Source organism: Homo sapiens, chromosome 7 (genome assembly GCF_000001405.40).
Source record: "Homo sapiens chromosome 7, GRCh38.p14 Primary Assembly".
In the NCBI taxonomy this organism is placed as follows: Eukaryota; Metazoa; Chordata; class Mammalia; order Primates; family Hominidae; genus Homo; species Homo sapiens.
In genome coordinates, this window is record NC_000007.14 from 156,904,324 (window position 1) to 156,922,661 (window position 18,338).

An 18,338-nucleotide genomic window follows, 5' to 3' on the forward strand; every position below is an offset into this window, starting at 1 on the left:
TATGAGCCACCACACCCAGCCTTAGGCATAGTGGCTCATGGTAGCTCATGCCTGTAATCCCAGCACTTTGGAAGGCCAAGGCAGGAGGATCGCTTGAGGCTAGGAGTTCCAGGCCAGCCTGGGCAACATAATGAGACCCCATCTCTACAACATAAAAATTAAAAAAAAAAAATAGCTGGATGTGGTGGCACATGCCTGTAGTCCCAGCCATTCAGGAAACTGAGGCTGGAGGTTGACTTGAGCCCAGCAGTTCAATACCACAGTGAGCTGTGATTGTGTCACTGCACTCCAGCCTAGGCGACAGAGCCAAACCCTATCTCTAAAAAAACAGAGAATGGATGCTGAACTTACACTTTTTTACACTAGCTCTTATTTTTATTTTTATTTATTTAGCTTTTTATTTTTATTTTTTTATTTTATTTATTTATTTTTTTGAGATGGAGTTTCACTCTTGTTGCCCAGGCTGGAGTGCAATGGCGGGATCTCAGCTCACTGCAACATCCGCCTCCCAGGTTCAAGCGATTCTCCTGCCTCAGCCTCTTGAGTAGCTGGGATAACAGGCACCTGCCACCACGCCCAGCTGATTTTTTGTATTTTTAGTAGAGATGGGGTTTTACCATGTTGGCCAGGCTGGTCTGGAACGCCTGACCTCAGGTGATCTGCCCGCCTCGGCCTCCCAAAGTGCTGGGATTACAGGCGTGAGCCACCACGCCCCACCTATTACTTTTTTCTTTTTTCTTTTTCTTTTTTTTTTTTTTTTTTTTGAGACAGGGTCTCACTCTGTCACTCAGGCTAGAAGGTAGTGGTACAATCTCGGGTGCCTGCAACCTCTGCCTCCAGGTTCAAGTGATTCTCCCACCTGAGCTTCCCAAATAGCTGGGATTATGGGCATGCGCCACCACACCCAGCTAATTTTTTGTATTTTTACTATAGATGGGGTTTCACCATGTTGGCCAAGCTGGTCTCGAATTCCTGACCTCAAGTAATCTGCCTGCCTCAGCCTCCCAAAGTGCTGGGATTGCAGGCGTGAGACACCGCGCCTGGCCACTACACCAGCTTTTAAATATACTTTCTAGAGGGGAAATGATGGAAACAATGAGGAAGGCACACTTAAGAAGTTAGTCTTTCTCCCTTCAGTCTCAGTTCTATTCTCTAGATGCAACCAGGACTAAGGGTTTCTAGCCATTCTTCCAGAATTTTCTACACATATATAAGCATTTTTAAAAGTACACAGTTGAGATCTGTTTTGCCACTTACATTTTTACTTAATAATATATCTTGGCTGTCTGACCATATCATTACGTACAGGTCCATTCCATTCCTTTGCTTCTTGCTTAGTAGTCCCCTGACTAGTATGTGCTGCATTTACTGAACCAATCTTCTGTGAGCGGGCGTTCAGGTTATTTACAGCTTTGTTCTGCTTTGCAGCTCTCTTCTAACAATGCCGTCACATATATCCTTGCACGTATTTCCTTGCATACTTGTACAGTTTTAGGGGTTGGGGGCAGGCCCCTGGTATGAGGTGGAAGCAGCTAGATCTTTTGGATAAGGCTCCACTGTGCCCAGGCCATGGCATGGCAGCAGCCCAGGGTTATCAGAGGATTCCAAGAGCTACCTGCTAGGGACAGAGTCAGAGCTGGTGGTGAAAGGAGTGGGTGGTATTTTCTGTCTCATGTGACACTGGGCCAGGTGGGGACAGGCAGTGTTTGTAAAGACCTCAGGAAATTCACCCAGGAGAACACAGGCTTCATCCAGGCCTCCCCTGTGATTGCAAGCCCAGAACCATGCCCTAGAACAGCCCAGTGCACTGAGGGTAAATGCAGCACCCTTGGGCGAGGTGGGGCCAGCTGGGAGTGTTCCACAGCCCTGGGCGCTTTGGAAAACACTCAGTGGTACCTCCTGAGAGCCCAGGCCCTTTGCTGGGCGGCCCAGGGGTTCCAGGCCTGAGCAACCCACCCAGAAATGAGCAGACAGAGGCAAAGGCAGCTGTCCAGGTTGGGAGTGAATCCACTGAGCATCTCCCTTGTCCTCAGGCCAGAGTTTCCTGGTTACTCCCACATGTTTATTTTTCCAGATGAATTTTGTATCATCTGTCATTACCTTACCCACTCCTCCCCCCACATCCTCTTGGTATTTGATTGGAAGTGAATTAGGGAGAATTGACATATTTACAACACTTAAGTCTTCGTAGCCAAAACAAGGAATGTTTTTATTTAAGTGAACTGACATCTGTTTTTATTTATTATTATTATTACTATTACGACAGCATCTCTCTCTGTGGCCCAGGCTGCACTGCAGCGGTGCTACCTCACTGCAGCCCTGATCTCCTGGGCTCAAGCAATCCTCCCATCTCAGCTTCCAGAGTAGCTGAGACTATAGGTGAATGCCACCAAGCCTGGCTAGTTTTTTTCATTTTTATTTTTATAGAGACAAGGTCTTGCCATTTTGTCCAGGCTGGTCTCGAAGACCTGGCCTCAAGTGATCTTCCTGCCTCAACCTCCCGAAGTGTTGGGATTACAGGCATGGACCACTACACCCTGTGACTTACTTATTTATTTATTTATTTATCTATTTGAGACAGAGTCTCACTCTCTCTCCCAGGCTGCAGTGTAGTGGCATGATCTCGGCTAACTGCAACCTCCACCTCCTGGGTTCAAGCCATTCTCCCACCTCAGCCTCCCGAGTAGCTGGGATTACAAGTGCTTGCCACCACGCCAGGCTAATTTTTGTATTTTTAGTAGAGATGGGGTTTCACCATGTTGACCAGGCTTGGTCTCAAATTCCTGACCTCAAGTGATCTGCCCACCTCGGCCTCCCAAAGTGTTGGGATTACAGGTGTGAGCCACCGCACCCGGCCAACATCTTTTTTTAATCAGCTCTTGGCTCTTGGGTTATAAGCCAAGATAGTGGACAAAAGTATTTGAAGAGTTTCTCTAGGAACTCTTTCTCCCTTTCTCCACAATCTTCCCTACCAATGGCACGTCATGCCTGCAGGGCAGCTTTGCCTCCTACACACCACCTGGGCTCACTGTCACAGCAAAGGGCAGCCGTAAAAGAACCAGGTCCCGGCTCTTGGCCATATCCTCCCAGGAACGAAGCAGGTGCCTCTGCCAAGCGTTACTTGAGGTGGAAGGGCTCATTTAGGTAACTTGTAAACCTTGACAGAAGCATCTTGGCCACCTTTATGCACTCTTACACTGCGGCATCCCAAACATCCTGCTGCTAATGTTCCTGTTTTACAGCATTTTAAAACCAATTTTCAAGTGAGTGTGTCATAAAATCACTCTATACAGGAAGTCAGTTCCATAATCTCCATGACATAAACTTTAAAAGCAAGATGTAGAATGCTGTTGGGATGCTCTGACATGCTTTTACACTGCACTCATTTGTAAATTTATTAGCAAATCATTAGGATATAAAAATCCACATCCGGCAACTGCTTACCAATTGTGGTAGGAGACATGGTAGGTTTTGTGACCTGGCAGGATGCAGAAAAATCATTCAGTCTGTGCATGGCTTCCTAATTTCCTAAGAGTTTGCTTTCTCGGAAGGTTTCCATGACAAACACAAACAAACCATTAGCCTGAGAACCTCATGTTGCTTTGTGGTTTAATATGCTGTATGACACAATAAGAAGTTCCTATCCTTGCCTCTCTTTTTACGCATTTGGTTTGTCTTCCTAAGCGTAGCATGATTCTCTAAGGGCAGAGACCATGCACTGTGATTTCTTTTTATTTTTTATTTTTATTTATTTATTTATTTTTTTTTTTTTTGAGATGGAGTCTCGCTCTGTCGCCCAGGCTGGAGTGCAATGGTGCAATCTGCAACCTCCGCCTTCCGGGTTCAAGCGATTCTCCTGCCTTAGCCTCCCGAGTAGCTGGTATTACAGGCACCTGCCACCATGCCCAGCTAATTTTTGTATTTTTAGTAGAGATGGGGTTTCACCATGTTGGTCAGGCTGGTCTCGAACTCCTGACCTCGTGATCTGCCCGCCTCAGCCTCCCAAAGTGCTGGGATTACAGGTGTGAGCCACTGTGCCCGGCCTGCGCTGTGATTCTTCTATGCAGCTCCAAACATACTTCTCTCAGTGGTTCTCAGGAAATACTTTTTGCAGACAATGACTGTGAGTCCACAGTAACAGATTCATAGAAATGGCTTATGTAGGCCAGGCGCGGTGGCTCACGCCTATAATCCCAGCACTTTGAGAAGCCGAGGCGGGGGCTGATCACCTGAGGTCAGGAGTTCAGGATCAGCCTGGCCAACATGGCGAAACCCATCTGTACTAAAAATACAAATTAGCCGGGCATGGTGGCCTGTGCCTGTAATCCCAGTTACTTGGGAGGCTGAGGCAGGAGAACCGCTTGAACCCAAGAGGCAGAGGTTGTAGTGAGCCAAGATCGTGCCACTGCACTCCAGCCTGGGTGACAGAGCAAGACTCCGTCTCATAAACAAATAAATAAATAGACTTCAATGCAATAACCATGCACAGGCGTGCTTGCTTGCTTTACCAACAGCATTTGTCTGATGTGAGCAGTATGTGCCTGGGCTTGCAGTGTTAAAAAACAACAACAACAACAAAAAAAAAACACCACACACACATGAACAGTAGTTGGGGGTCTCTCTCCCGGGGACAAGGGCTGGAGTTCGTGCTGACCTCCACCTGTCCTCATACTTACTCTGCCTGCTAGAGGGAAGGTGCTCCTATGTGTTCCTGGGAAGTTGCTGCAATGCGGCCTGAGCGCCAGCGGGGCTAGGGGGCGCTGAGGCCACACGGAACGCCGGCGACTCACTGCGCCAGGCCGGGCCACCGTGCAGAACGCGCGCGGATCTCACACCCCACCATGCGGAACGCGCGCGGGTCACACACCGCACCGTACGGAACACAGGCGGATCATGATTCGTTCTCCCCTGCTCCTGGGGCCTTGGAGCCATCTCTTTTCTTGAAAGGCCTCCAGGTCTTGAGTGCCATCATGAATTAGAGTATGGGATATTTTGGACCAGAGGTGATGTTATTCATCCTACTTTACACTTAATTTTTCTTTACATTAATTTTTCTTTTTTTATTTTTTATTTTTTTTATTATTATTATACTTTAAGTTTTAGGATACATGTGCACAATGTGCAGGTTAGTTACATATGTATACATGTGCCATGCTGGTGTGCTGCACCCATTAACTCGTCATTTAGCATTAGGTATATCTCCTAATGCTATCCCTCCCCCCTCCCCCCACCCCACAACAGTCCCCAGAGTGTGATGTTCCCCTTCCTGTGTCCATGTGTTCTCATTGTTCAGTTCCCATCTATGAGTGAGAACATGCGGTGTTTGGTTTTTTGTCCTTCTGATAGTTTACTGAGAATGATGATTTCCAATTTCATCCATGTCCCTACAAAGGACGTGAACTCATCATTTTTTATGGCTGCATAGTATTCCATGGTGTATATGTGCCACATTTTCTTAATCCAGTCTATCATTGTTGGACATTTGGGTTGGTTCCAAGTCTTTTCTATTGTGAATAGTGCCACAATAAAAATATGTGTGCATGTGTCTTTATAGCAGCATGATTTATAGTCCTTTGGGTATATACCCAGTAATGGGATGGCTGGGTCAAATGGTATTTCTAGTTCTAGATCCCTGAGGAATCGCCACACTGACTTCCACAAGGGTTGAACTAGTTTACAGTCCCACCAACAGTGCAAAAGTGTTCCTATTTCTCCACATCCTCTCCAGCACCTGTTGTTACCTGACTTTTTAATGATTGCCATTCTAACTGGTGTGAGATGGTATCTCATTGTGGTTTTGATTTGCATTTCTCTGATGGCCAGTGATGATGAGCATTTTTTCTTGTGTCTTTTGGCTGCATAAATGTCTTCTTTTCAGAGGCATCTGTTCATATCCTTTGCCCACTTTTTGATGGGGTTGTTTTTTTTTTCTTGTAAATTTGTTTGAGTTCATTGTAGATTCTGGATATTAGCCCTTTGTCAGATGAGTAGGTTGCAAAAATTTTCTCCCATTTTGTAGGTTTCCTGTTCACTCTGATGGTAGTTTCTTTTGCTGTGCAGAAGCTCTTGAGTTTAATTAGATCCCATTTGTCAATTTTGGCTTTTGTTGCCATTGCTTTTGGTGTTTTAGAATTGAAGTCCTTGCCCATGCCTATGTCCTGAATGGTAATGCCTAGGTTTTCTTCTAGGGTTTTTATGGTTTTAGGTCTAACGTTTAAGTCTTTAATCCATCTTGAATTAATTTTTGTATAAGGTGTAAGGAAGGGATCCAGTTTCAGCTTTCTACATATGGCTAGCCAGTTTTCCCAGCACCATTTATTAAATAGGGAATCCTTTCCCCATTGCTTGTTTTTGTCAGGTTTGTCAAAGATCAGATAGTTGTAGATATGCGGCATTATTTCTGAGGGCTCTGTTCTGTTCCATTGAGCTATATCTCTGTTTTGGTACCAGTACCATGCTGTTTTGGTTACGGTAGCCTTGTAGTATAATTTGAAGTCAGGTAGCATGATGCCTCCAGCTTTGTTTTTTTGGCTTAGGATTGACTTGGCAGTCCTTTTGGTTCCATATGAACTTTAAAGTAGTTTTTTCCAATTCTGTGAAGAAAGTCATTGGTAGCTTGATGGGGATGGCGTTGAATCTATAAATTACCTTGGGCAGTATGCCATGTTCACCATATTGATTCTTCCTACCCATGAGCATGGAATGTTCTTCCATTTGTTTGTATCCTCTTTTATTTCATTGAGCAGTGGTTTGTAGTTCTCCTTGAAGAGGTCCTTCATGTCCCTTGTAAGTTGGATTCCTAAGTATTTTATTCTCTTTGAAGCAATTGTGAATGGGAGTTCACTCATGATTTGGCTCTCTGTTTGTCTGTTATTGGTGTATAAGAATGCTTGTGATTTTTGTACATTGATTTTGTATCCTGAGACTTTGCTGAAGTTGCTTATCAGCTTAAGGAGATTTTGGGCTGAGACAATGGGGTTTTCTAGATATACAATCATGTCGTCTGCAAACAGGGACAATTTGACTTCCTCTTTTCCTAATTGAATACCCTTTATTTCTTTCTCCTGCCTAATTGCCCTGGCCAGCACTTCCAACACTATGTTGAATAGGAGTGGTGAGAGAGGGCATCCCTGTCTTGTGCCAGTTTTCAAAGGGAATGCTTCCAGTTTTTGCCCATTCAGTATGATATTTGCTGTGGGTTTGTCATAGATAGCTCTTATTACTTTGAGATACGTCCCATCAATACCTAATTTTTTGAGAGTTTTTAGCATGAAGTGTTGTTGAATTTTGTCAAAGGCCTTTTCTGCATCTATTGAGATAATCATGTGGTTTTTGTCTTTGGTTCTGTTTATATGCTGGATTATATTTATTGATTTGCATATATTGAACCAGCCTTGCATCCCAGGGATGAAGCCCACTTGATCATGGTGGATAAGCTTTTTGATGTGCTGCTGGATTCGGTTTGCCAGTATTTTATTGAGGATTTTTGCATCAATGTTCTTCAAGGATATTGGTCTAAAATTCTCTTTTTTGGTTGTGTCTCTGCCAGTCTTTGGTATCAGGATGATGCTGGCCTCATAAAATGAGTTAGGGAGGATTCCCTCTTTTTCTATTGATTGGAATAGTTTCAGAAGGAATGGTACCAGTTCCTCCTTGTACCTCTGGTAGAATTCGGCTGTGAATCCATCGGGTCCTGGACTCTTTTTGGTTGGTAAACTATTGATTATTACCACAATTTCAGATTCTGTTATTGGTCTATTCAGAGATTCAACTTCTTCCTGGTTTAGTCTTGGGAGAGTGTATGTGTCAAGGAATTTATCCATTTCTTCTAGATTTTCTAGTTTATTTGCGTAGAGGTGTTTGTAGTATTCTCTGATGGTAGTTTGTATTTCTGTGGGATTGGTGGTGCTATCCCCTTTATCATTTGTTATTGCATCTATTTGATTCTTCTCTCTTTTTTTCTTTATTCGTCTTGCTAGCGGTCTATCAATTTTGTTGATCCTTTCAAAAAACCAGCTCCTGGATTCATTAATTTTTTGAAGGGTTTTTTTGGTCTCTATTTCCTTCAGTTCTGCTCTGATTTTAGTTATTTCTTGCCTTCTGCTGGCTTTTGAATGTGTTTGCTGTTGCTTTTCTAGTTTTTTTAATTGTGATGTTAGGGTGTCAATTTTGGATCTTTCCTGCTTTCTCTTGTGGGCATTTAGTCCTATAAATTTCCCTCTACACGCTGCTTTGAATGTGTCCCAGAGATTCTGGTATTTGTGTCTTTGTTCTTGTTGGTTTTGAAGACCATCTTTATTTCTGCCTTCTTTTCATTATGTCCCCAGTAGTCATTCAGGAGCAGGTTGTTCAGTTTCCATGTAGTTGAGCGGTTTTGAGTGAGTTTCTTAATCCTGAGTTCTAGTTTGATTGCACTGTGGTCTGAGAGACAGTTTATTATAATTTCTGTTCTTTTACATTTGCTGAGGAGAGCTTTACTTCCAACTATGTGGTCAATTTTGGAATAGGTGTGGTGTGGTGCAGAAAAGAATGTATATTCCGTTGATTTGGGGTGGAGAGTTCTGTAGATGTCTATTAGGTCCACTTGGTGCAGAGCTGAGTTCAATTCCTGGGTATCCTTGTTAACATTCTGTCTCGTTGATCTGTCTAATGTTGACAGTGGGGTGTTAAAGTCTCCCATTATTATTGTGTGGGAGTCTAAGTCTCTTTGTAGGTCACTCAGCACTTGCTTTATGAATCTGGGTGCTCCTGTATTGGGTGCATATATATTTAGGATAGTTAGCTCTTCTTGTTGAATTGATCCCTTTACCATTATGTAATGGCCTTCTTTGTCTCTTTTGATCTTTGTTGGTTTAAAGTCTGTTTTATCCGAGACTAGGATTGCAACCCCTGCCTTTTTTTGTTTTCCATTTGCTTGGTAGATCTTCCTCCATCCTTTTATTTTGAGCCTATGTGTGTCTCTGCAGGTGAGATGGGTTTCCTGAATACAGCACACTGATGGGTCTTGACTCTTTATCCAATTTGCCAGTCTGTCTTTTAATTGGAGCATTTAGTCCATTTACATTTAAAGTTAATATTGTTATGTGTGAATTTGATCCTGTCATTATGATGTTAGCTGGTTATTTTGCTCATTAGTTGATGCAGTTTCTTCCTAGTCTCGATGGTCTTTACATTTTGGCATGATTTTGCAGCGGCTGGTACCGGTTGTTCGTTTCCATGTTTAGTGCTTCCTTCAGGAGCTCTTGTAGGGCAGGCCTGGTGGTGACAAAATCTCTCAGCATTTGCTTGTCTGTACAGTATTTTATTTCTCCTTCACTTATGAAGCTTAGTTTGGCTGGATATGAAATTCTGGGTTGAAAATTCTTTTTTTTAAGAATGTTGAATATTGGCCCCCCTCTCTTCTGGCTTGTAGAGTTTCTGCCGAGAGATCAGCTGTTAGTCTGATGGGCTTCCCTTTGTGGGTAAGCCGACCTTTCTCTCTGGCTGCCCTTAACATTTTTTCCTTCATTTCAACTTTGGTGAATCTGACAATTATGTGTCTTGGAGTTGCTCTTCTCAAGGAGTATCTTTGTGGTGTTCTCTGTACTTCCTGAATCTGAATGTTGGCCTGCCTTGCTAGATTAGGGAAGTTCTCCTGGATAATACCCTGCAGAGTGTTTTCCAACTTGGTTCCATTCTCCCCGTCACTTTCAGGTACACCAATCAGACATAGATTTGGTCTTTTCACATAGTCCCATATTTCTTGGAGGCTTTGTTCATTTCTTTTTATTCTTTTTTCTCTAAACTTCCCTTCTCACTTCATTTCATTCATTTCATCTTCCATCACTGAAACCCTTTCTTCCAGTTGATCACATTGGCTCCTGAGACTTCTGCATTCTTCACGTAGTTCTCGAGCCTTGGCTTTCAGCTCCATCAGCTCCTTTAAGCACTTCGCTGTATTGGTTATTCTAGTTATACATTCGTCTAAATTTTTTTCAAAGTTTTCAACTTCTTTGCCTTTGGTTTGAATTTCCTCCTGTAGCTCAGAGTAGTTTGATCGTCTGAAGCCTTCTTCTCTCAACTCGTCAAAGTCATTCTCCGTCCAGCTTTGTTCTGTTGCTGGTGAGGAACTACGTTCCTCTGGAGGAGGAGAGGCACTCTGCTTTTTAGAGTTTCCAGTTTTTCTGCTCTGTTTTTTCCCCATCTTTGTGGTTTTATCTACTTTTGGTCTTTGATGATGGTGATGTACAGATGGGTTTTTGGTGTGGATGTCCTTTCTGTTTGTTAGTTTTCCTTCTAACAGACAGGACCCTCAGCTGCAGGTCTGTTGGAGTTTGCTAGAGGTCCACTCCAGACCCTGTTTGCCTGGGTATCAGCAGCGGTGTCTGCAGAACAGCGGATTTTCGTGAACCGCGAATGCTGCTGTCTGATCGTTCCTCTGGAAGTTTTGTCTCAGAGGAGTACCCGGCCGTGTGAGGTATCAGTCTGCCCCTACTGGGGGGTGCCTCCCAGTTAGGCTGCTCGGGGGTCAGGGATCAGGGACCCACTTGAGGAGGCAGTCTGCCCGTTCTCAGATCTCCAGCTGCGTGCTAGGAGAACCACTGCTCTCTTCAAAGCTGTCAGACAGGGACATTTAAGTCTGCAGAGGTTACTGCTGTCTTTTTGTTTGTCTGTGCCCTGCCCCCAGAGATGGAGCCTACAGAGGCAGGCAGGCTTCCTTGAGCTGTGGTGGGCTCCACCCAGTTCGACCTTCCCGGCTGCTTTGTTTACCTAAGCAAGCCTGGGCAATGGCGGGCGCCCCTCCCCCAGCCTTGCTGCCACCTTGCAGTTTGATCTCAGGCTGCTGTGCCAGCAATCAGCGAGACTCCGTGGGCGTAGGACCCTCCGAGCCAGGTGCGGGATATAATCTCCTGATGCGCCATTTCCTAAGCCTGTCAGAAAAGCACAGTATTAGGGTGGGAGTGACCCGATTTTCCAGGTGCCGTCTGTCATCCCTTTCTTTGACTAGGAAAGGGAATTCCCTGACCCCTTGCGCATCCTGAGTGAGGCAGTGCCTCGCCCTGCTTCAGCTCGCGCACAATGCGGTGCACCCACTGTCCTGCACCCACTGTCTGGCACTCCCTAGTAAGAGGAACCCGGTACCTCAGATGGAAATGCGGAAATCACCCGTCTTCTGCGTCACTCACGCCGGGAGCTGTAGACCGGAGCTGTTCCTATTCGGCCATCTTGGCTCCTCCCCCCCATTAATTTTTCTTTAACCCTGGGCTTATTTAGACTTGAAAGGATCTCAAGACTATGTTGTTCAATGTCATCGATGACAGTATTACAAGTGAGAAAACTGAGGCTCCTGGGCCCTCCTCAATGCTTCACAGGGTCTCTCGAGGTGAACAAAGCATAACAAAGTGCAGTCCTTCTCTGGGGGATGAGCCTTAAAATGAGAATTTACCCCAGTTTATTATCACCTCCCAAATTGGACCTAAAAAATTTATCACTAATCTTGTTTTACTTTTATGTGGTATTCTATAACCCACAAAGTACATGTTGTCCACTATTTAAATTCACAATAACTCAACAAGATAAGCAAGGATTATCATTTCTAACAGAGGAGGAAACTGAAATACAGTAAGGTTAAACAACATACCCAAGGTTTCACAGCCAATAAATGGCAGAGCCAGCTCTAAACTTCAGATCTCTGCTTTCTGCTCAGAGGTCTCTTTTCTACTCTGCGTAGCCACTCCAGTACAGAGAGAGAGAGAGAAAGTTACAGATACAGATACAGATAGGGATGCAGTTAGAGATAGAGATAGAGATAGATAGAGATAGAGATAGAGATAGATGTAAACACATAATTATAATTATAGATATGGGGCAGAGTGTAGTGGCTCATGGCTGTAATCCCAGCACTTTGGGAGACTGAGATGGGAGGCCAGGAGTTCAAGACCAGCCTGGGCAACAGAGTAAGACCTCATCTCTACAAAAAAAAATCAATTATAGATATGGATATAGATATTATAGATATAAGTTTATTGCTGTGGTTATGGATATAGATGCATAGTTATAGATAGATGAGATATAGATGTAGAAACAGAGACATTTAGAGATAAATATCCAGTACCCCTTTGAGTTAGCCAAATTAAAACTCTAATATGCAGCTAGAAAGCACCTGTCCACACATTCTGGCTCCCGGTTGTCCCCTTGAGCCCCAGAAGGTCTTGTTTAAGGGAGATGATTGTTCGATCGTAGAAATGATCTCTGCAATGCTGGGGAGTTCTGTGATTGCTGGTTCCTAGACTGAAATGGTTGATAAAACTTCCCTTTCTCTTGTTCATCAAAATCAGCTTTTTATATAACTAGGAAGTCTGGGAGCTTCCTGGGACAGTCTGGAATATTAATGTATAGACAGTCTTGCTTTGTCTTTATATACATGAAGATAAAAGGTAAAACTCAAAAAAATTAATGCTAAAAATGTTACTTATGTCTTTTACTATTATAAAATTAAATTATAATTTAGGAGCTCCTATACATTTCCGACTGTGGTAGATTTTAAGGTAATTATATATCTCTTCAGTAATGTATTTGCAATCAACTTATTGCATAAAAGGCTTGCTTGTGAATTCAAGATTATTTATAGATTTATAGCCCTTTCAAGTGAAAAGGGGGTTTTTCAGAAGTACTTCCAATTTCCAATGTCTGGTGAATCTTCCATTTGCCATCAATAATGCCACCTACAGAAATCCTCTTTCATATAAATCCAGCCTGACATTCCTATAATGCACACCGCCAAGGATTGCTCTGAGGGCGAGAAGTAATATCTGTGTGAATTATATCAGGCCAGCATGTGGAAAAACATTCATCCCACAATTTATGAATTCAGAATGCTCCTAGAACATGTTTTGGTATTCTAAATAGAGGGAAGTTTTATTGTTATTATTATTATTATTACATGGCTGTCTTGATAAATGTTTATTGCAGGCACTGTGAAAACTGCTGATTTGAAAAAAGTATATTTGTTATCATTTTTTTGGCCTGCCTCTAATGTTTACTATTCACATTATTAAAATTGTATGGCTCTATTATCTGTCAAAGGTTTTTCGTGTTGTTTTTTCAATGTAAAGACTATGTTAATGGCATCAACTGTGACCTCAGAATTTGGCATAATCTATAATCATGCTGAGCACCTCGATGTCAATGTACCTCTTGGCCACTGCTTGACTTCAGTCTGTTAGGGAAGATTTGGAAAGGATCTGAGTAGGTAGCAGAGATCCAGTTAAAGATATTACATTATATTACATTATAATGTTATGTTGAATTGTATGACTTTATGTTGTGTTATATTAGTGTGTTATGTTACATTGTTTTGGTTTTTTTTTTGTTGTTGTTGTTTTGTTTTTTTGGGGTTTTTTTTTGTTTTTTTTTTTTTGAGATGGAGTTTCGCTCCGTTGCCCAGGCTGAAGTGCAGTGGCACAATCTTGGCTCACTGCAACCTCCACATCCCGGGTTTGAGCGATTCTCCTACCTCAGCCTCCCAAGTAGCTGGGATTACAGGCATGCACCACCATGCCCGGCTAATTTTTTTTTTATTCAGTAGAGACAGAGTTTCACCATGTTGGTCAGGCTGGTCTCGAAATCCTGACCTCAAATGATCCACCTGCCTCAGCCTCCCAAAGTGCTGAGATTACAGGCATGAGCCACGGGGCCCAGCCCTGTTACATTGTTATATTATTTATATTGTATTGCCTAAGACCACAAAGCTATAGTTGCAATACAGGCAAATAGCAATTTTGTCAGAATTATACTGTAGATAATTAAGGATGGAGTAAGTATTCAGGTTAAATGATACATTTTGTTTACAGTGTCTAAATTCACTGGATAATTACCCTTCTCTCACTTTCTATCCTAATCATTAAAATGTAGGGGGTGGGTTGTTTTTTTTGTTGTTGTTTTTGTTTTTGTTTTGAGACGGCATCTCACTCTGTTGACCAGGCTGGAGTGCAATGGCGTGATCTTGGCTCACTGCAGCCTCCACCTCCCAGGTTCAAGTGATAGCTGGGATTACAGGTGCCTGCCACCATGCCCAGCTAATTTGTGTATTTTTAGTAGAGATGGGGTTTTACCAGATTGGCCAGGCTGGTCTCGAACTCCTGACCTCAAGTGATCCACCTGCCTCGGCCTCCCAAAGTGATGGGATTACAGGCGTGAGCCACCACGCTTGGCCGGGTTTTAATTTTTCATTTGGCTGTTTTACAAGTTAAAGTTTGAAACTTCAAAACTTAGCCTCCTGCTTTCAGGTAAGTGTGTGAGTGTGTGTGTGAGTGTGAGTTTGTGTGTGTGTGTGTGAGTGCTTACAGACCTCAAGGAAAAGTGATTCTATTTAATACAACAAATCTTAGTAACCAGCCCTGGCATCATCAGCCTTTATTCATCCAAACATTGAAGGAGCAGATGCTCTTACTTCTCCCCTCAGGTAGTACATTTAATTCTAATAGTGATGTCTGCATAGCCTAGCTCCTGATATGAGTCTAAGGGTAGACTTTAATCTGAAATATGAATAATAGTTACCAGGAAAAGCATGCAAATAAACATGTGGCATTAACTGAGGAATCATTTCTGAAGTCACTGACTGCATTCCTGTAGTTAGAAAAGAAACCATGCACCATTCTACTTCTGAAAGATTTGTTTCAGAAGCATTAGAAATCCTAGCCAGTACAAATCAGATTAATTCGAGAATTAGCAGGGATAGGCTTTATTCTGAAATCATGAATGTTCTAATTAAGTTCAAATGTGGTTAATTCCTCTTAGGCATGTTACAATAATAAGTAGTGGACTTGATGTGGGGTGAATATCCTTGATCCCTGTCAATAATTAAATTGGTTGGCATAATGTCTAATGTTGTAAAAACCCCAATCTTCCACTTCTGTCTCATTAGCAAAAATAAATAGGCTGGTGTTAACCGCACAGACTAATAAAGGCATTCAGTATTGTTCAAGGACACGCCAAAGGAGGTCCAGGGTGCTTGTTTGCCGACAGTTGTTTATTCAGCTTGGTTTTCTTCTTCCCAAAAAGAGAGTGAGAAAACGGGGTGAGATTAGCAGCTCTCACACATTCACACTGCTGGGCAACCTGGTCACTCGCCAAGGGGCAGAGACAGGAATTGGTTCTGCGCAGCGCGGGCAGGCTGGGCGACGGCAGCCATCAGTGTCCTGTGGCCTTGGACCACCGACAGGCCCACGCTCACCTGCTTCCGTGCTTCAGGCAGAGGCAGCGCATAAACCCCAGAGGTGCGCCGGACCCCTCACACTCTCCTCATTGTGTTTGCAGAGTCAAAAGGCACATTCCTCCATCGGTGAATGAATGCCTACCCGTACTCAGGCATGAGAGGAGAAGCAAGTTTGTACCGTGGGCAGACAGTCACACTCGCCTGGCCTGTCCCAGTAAATTGTTCTCTCTTTGTGTACTAATTAGGGTGACTCAACATGTTGTTTGGGGGTGAAGACATCTGCATTCACTCTTGTTTTTTCCTTTGGTTTTCACGCACTCACTTGGCTCACCCTCACCAGGATTGGCCTGCCCTGCGCCCACCCCTACTCTAGGAGCTGAGAATACTGACGCAAATAAAGCTTACACATAAGCCCTGATTCAAGAACAGTTCTTACAGGTCTCAGCTATCTTATGCATATACTTTAGGAGGAGAGACAAATACAATTGGTTAAGTATTAAAATATCAGGTAATTGATCAATGCTATGGAGATAATTGAAATCGGATGGTGCAATCAAGTGCAGATGAGGCAGTCAGGAAAGACAAAGGGGAACTCTGAAAAGTGGAAAGAGGAAGGCAGACGTGTAAGGGACCCCAGACTGGAGGAGCACCCCAGTAGCAGGATGCCTTACAACTCCCCACCCACAGCCCAAGTGACCCGGGCCAGGTGTCTTCTCACCCACAACCTTGAACAGAAGGTGGCCCAGGTAGGCTCACTCCTCCCTCAGATCAGACAGGAGTTCTGCCAAGAGCACCAGTCAAGCCTGGCAGCACTGGCGAGGGGATTGCCAGGGAGCTCGCTGACACCAGGGCCAGGGGACCTATAGGGTCCAGCCCTACAGGGCTTAGTGAGTGTTCTCCCCGTGTGCAGAGATGAGAGATTGTAAGAAATAAAGACACAAGACAGAGATAAAGAGAAAACAGCTGGGCCCGGGGAACCACTACCACCAAGATGCGGAGACCGGTAGTGGCCCCGAATGGCTGGGCGCGCTGATATTTATTGCATGCAAGACAAGGGGGCAGGGTAAGGAGGGTGAGTCGTCCAAGTGATTGATAAGGCCAGGCAAGTCACGTGATCATGGGACAGGGAGCCCTTTCCCTTTTAGGTAGCCGAAGCAGAGAGGGAAGGCAGCATACGTCAGCGTTTTCTTCTATGCACTTACAAGAAAGATCAGACTTTTTAAGACTTTCACTATTTCTTCTACTGCTATCTACTACGAACTTCAAAGAGGAACCAGGAGTATGGGAGGAACATGAAAGTGGACAAGGAACATGACCATTGAAGCACCACAGGGAGGGGTTTAGGCCTCCAGATGACTGCGGGCAGGCCTGGATAGTATCTAACCTCCCACAAGAAGCTGGTGGAGCAGAGTGTTCTTTGACTCCTCCAAGTAAAGGGAGACTCCCTTTCATGGTCTGCTAAGTAACGGGTGCCTTCTCAGACACTGGCGTTACCGCTTGACCAAGGAGCCCTCAAGCGGTCCTTATGCGGGCGTGACGGAGGGCTCACCTCTTGCCTTCTAGGTCACTTCTCACAATATCCCTTCAGCACCTGACCATATACCCACCCGCCGGTTATTTATTGGTTGTATTAGTAATACAACAAAGAGTAATAGTAAAAGCTAATGATTAATAATGTTTATACTAATGATTGATAATGTTCATGATCATCTCTATATCTAATTTGTGTTATAACTATTCTTATTCTATTTTCTTTATTATACTGAAACAGTTTGTGCCTTCAGTCTCTCGCCTCGGCACCTAGGTAATCCTTTGCCCACAGGACCACACCACCCTCCCCCAGTGAGAGGAACCAGAGTGACGGGAAAGGGAAGCCCCACACAACCAGCACTCGAGGCCCGGCCCACTGGGAGCACTGGGTGGCCTGGCCTGGGAAAGCCCCTTGTGCCCCTTGGGTGGCACCAGCAGGTACCCGTGGGAGCTCCAGCAGCACCAGACAAACCAAGCAGACCCAAGATAGCACCATGAAGGCTCTGAACATCAAATTGTCACTGGAAGCATGGCCTGCAGAAGCGGGCCACAATCCTCACACTAAACCTAAGCAGAGCGACTGGCTGCAAAAAGGAAAGACTTAAAAAATAGGATCCAGAGACCTTCCTCTTCCTCATGAGTTTTCCAAATCACACTTGATTGAAACAAAAACGTTAGCACCATCTGAGACTCAGGACAGTGATATTTATGAGCGGGGAGGGTAAAGGAAGCTCCATGCTATAAGTTCCGCACCTCGCTTGAAGTAGGAAAAGGCCACGGCACGCAGGACTCACTGAGTGGCTACCAAAAGAAACCAACGCTGAGCTATAGCATGGCAAGCTAATACTACATTTTGGAAAAGCACGCATATTGAAATTTGCGTCATTTGTGCTATTATTTGTGCTATTATAAAGACCTGACGCCTGGTGGAACCGTGCTTACAATGTGTGGGTACTTAAACGCGTGTTCTGAAAAACTCCTCTGCTGCTTCTTCCTCTGATTTCACATTCGGTAAACCTGCAAGTGCACACATTTCATCCCCTTGCAAGACTGTTGTCAGTGCTCAGTAAGTCTACATTTTACATAGGATGAGGTGATTACAAAGATGGCACCATGGATAAACGACACTACCTGTGTTAGCAGTTGTGACTTTTCCTTCTTTTTTTTTTCTTTTTCTTTTCTTTTCTTTTTCTTTCTTTTTTTTTCTTTCTTTTTTTTTTTGAGATGGAGTCTCACTCTGTTGTCCAGACTGAAGTACAATGGCATGATCTCAGCTCACTGCAACCTCTCCCTCCTGGGTTCAAGCAATTCTCCTGCCTCAGCTTCCTGAGTAGCTGGAATTGCAGGTGCCTGCCACCATGCCTGGCTAATTTTCTATATTTAGTAGAGACAGGATTGCGCCATGTTGGCCAGGCTGGTCTTGAACTCCTGACCTCAGGTGATCCGCCTGCCTTGGCCTCCTGAAGTGCTGGGATTACAGGCATGAGCCACCGTGCCCGGCCATGACTTTTCAGATGTTATCTAATAAGCCACTATTCTAAGGGGCAGGCACACATCCACATTCGAGTGCCGCCTCTGTTGTCTGCTCTTTAACCATGTGCTGCCATCTAAA

General features: G+C 44.1%; 1 long non-coding RNA gene across 3 annotated transcripts in view, besides 4 other annotated features; it reads left to right on the forward strand.

Annotated features, from left to right (window-relative positions):
• The window catches only part of LOC102723795 (uncharacterized), a 28,584-nt gene extending 10,926 nt beyond the window's left edge, over window positions 1-17,658 (forward strand). For all 3 annotated transcript variants that reach the window (XR_428274.4, XR_928253.3, XR_001745446.2), the window contains one exon: window positions 16,968-17,658. This is a non-coding gene — a long non-coding RNA (uncharacterized LOC102723795). The remainder of the gene's footprint in view (window positions 1-16,967) is intronic.
• Window positions 10,367-11,566: an enhancer, noted in NCBI's record as "MED14-independent group 3 enhancer chr7:156707384-156708583 (GRCh37/hg19 assembly coordinates)". NCBI's record gives its function as "activates an origin of replication core promoter dependent on BRD2, BRD4, P300/CBP and CDK7 cofactors, and independent of MED14, by STARR-seq in HCT116 cells {active_cell/tissue: HCT116}" and the evidence as "EXISTENCE:reporter gene assay evidence [ECO:0000049][PMID:35650434]".
• Window positions 14,491-14,550: an enhancer, noted in NCBI's record as "active region_26915". NCBI's record gives its function as "activates an Ori minimal core promoter by ATAC-STARR-seq in GM12878 lymphoblastoid cells {active_cell/tissue: GM12878}" and the evidence as "EXISTENCE:reporter gene assay evidence [ECO:0000049][PMID:35858748]".
• Window positions 14,571-14,640: an enhancer, noted in NCBI's record as "active region_26916". NCBI's record gives its function as "activates an Ori minimal core promoter by ATAC-STARR-seq in GM12878 lymphoblastoid cells {active_cell/tissue: GM12878}" and the evidence as "EXISTENCE:reporter gene assay evidence [ECO:0000049][PMID:35858748]".
• Window positions 16,649-16,788: an enhancer, noted in NCBI's record as "active region_26917". NCBI's record gives its function as "activates an Ori minimal core promoter by ATAC-STARR-seq in GM12878 lymphoblastoid cells {active_cell/tissue: GM12878}" and the evidence as "EXISTENCE:reporter gene assay evidence [ECO:0000049][PMID:35858748]".
• Window positions 17,659-18,338: the final 680 nt, after the last annotated feature.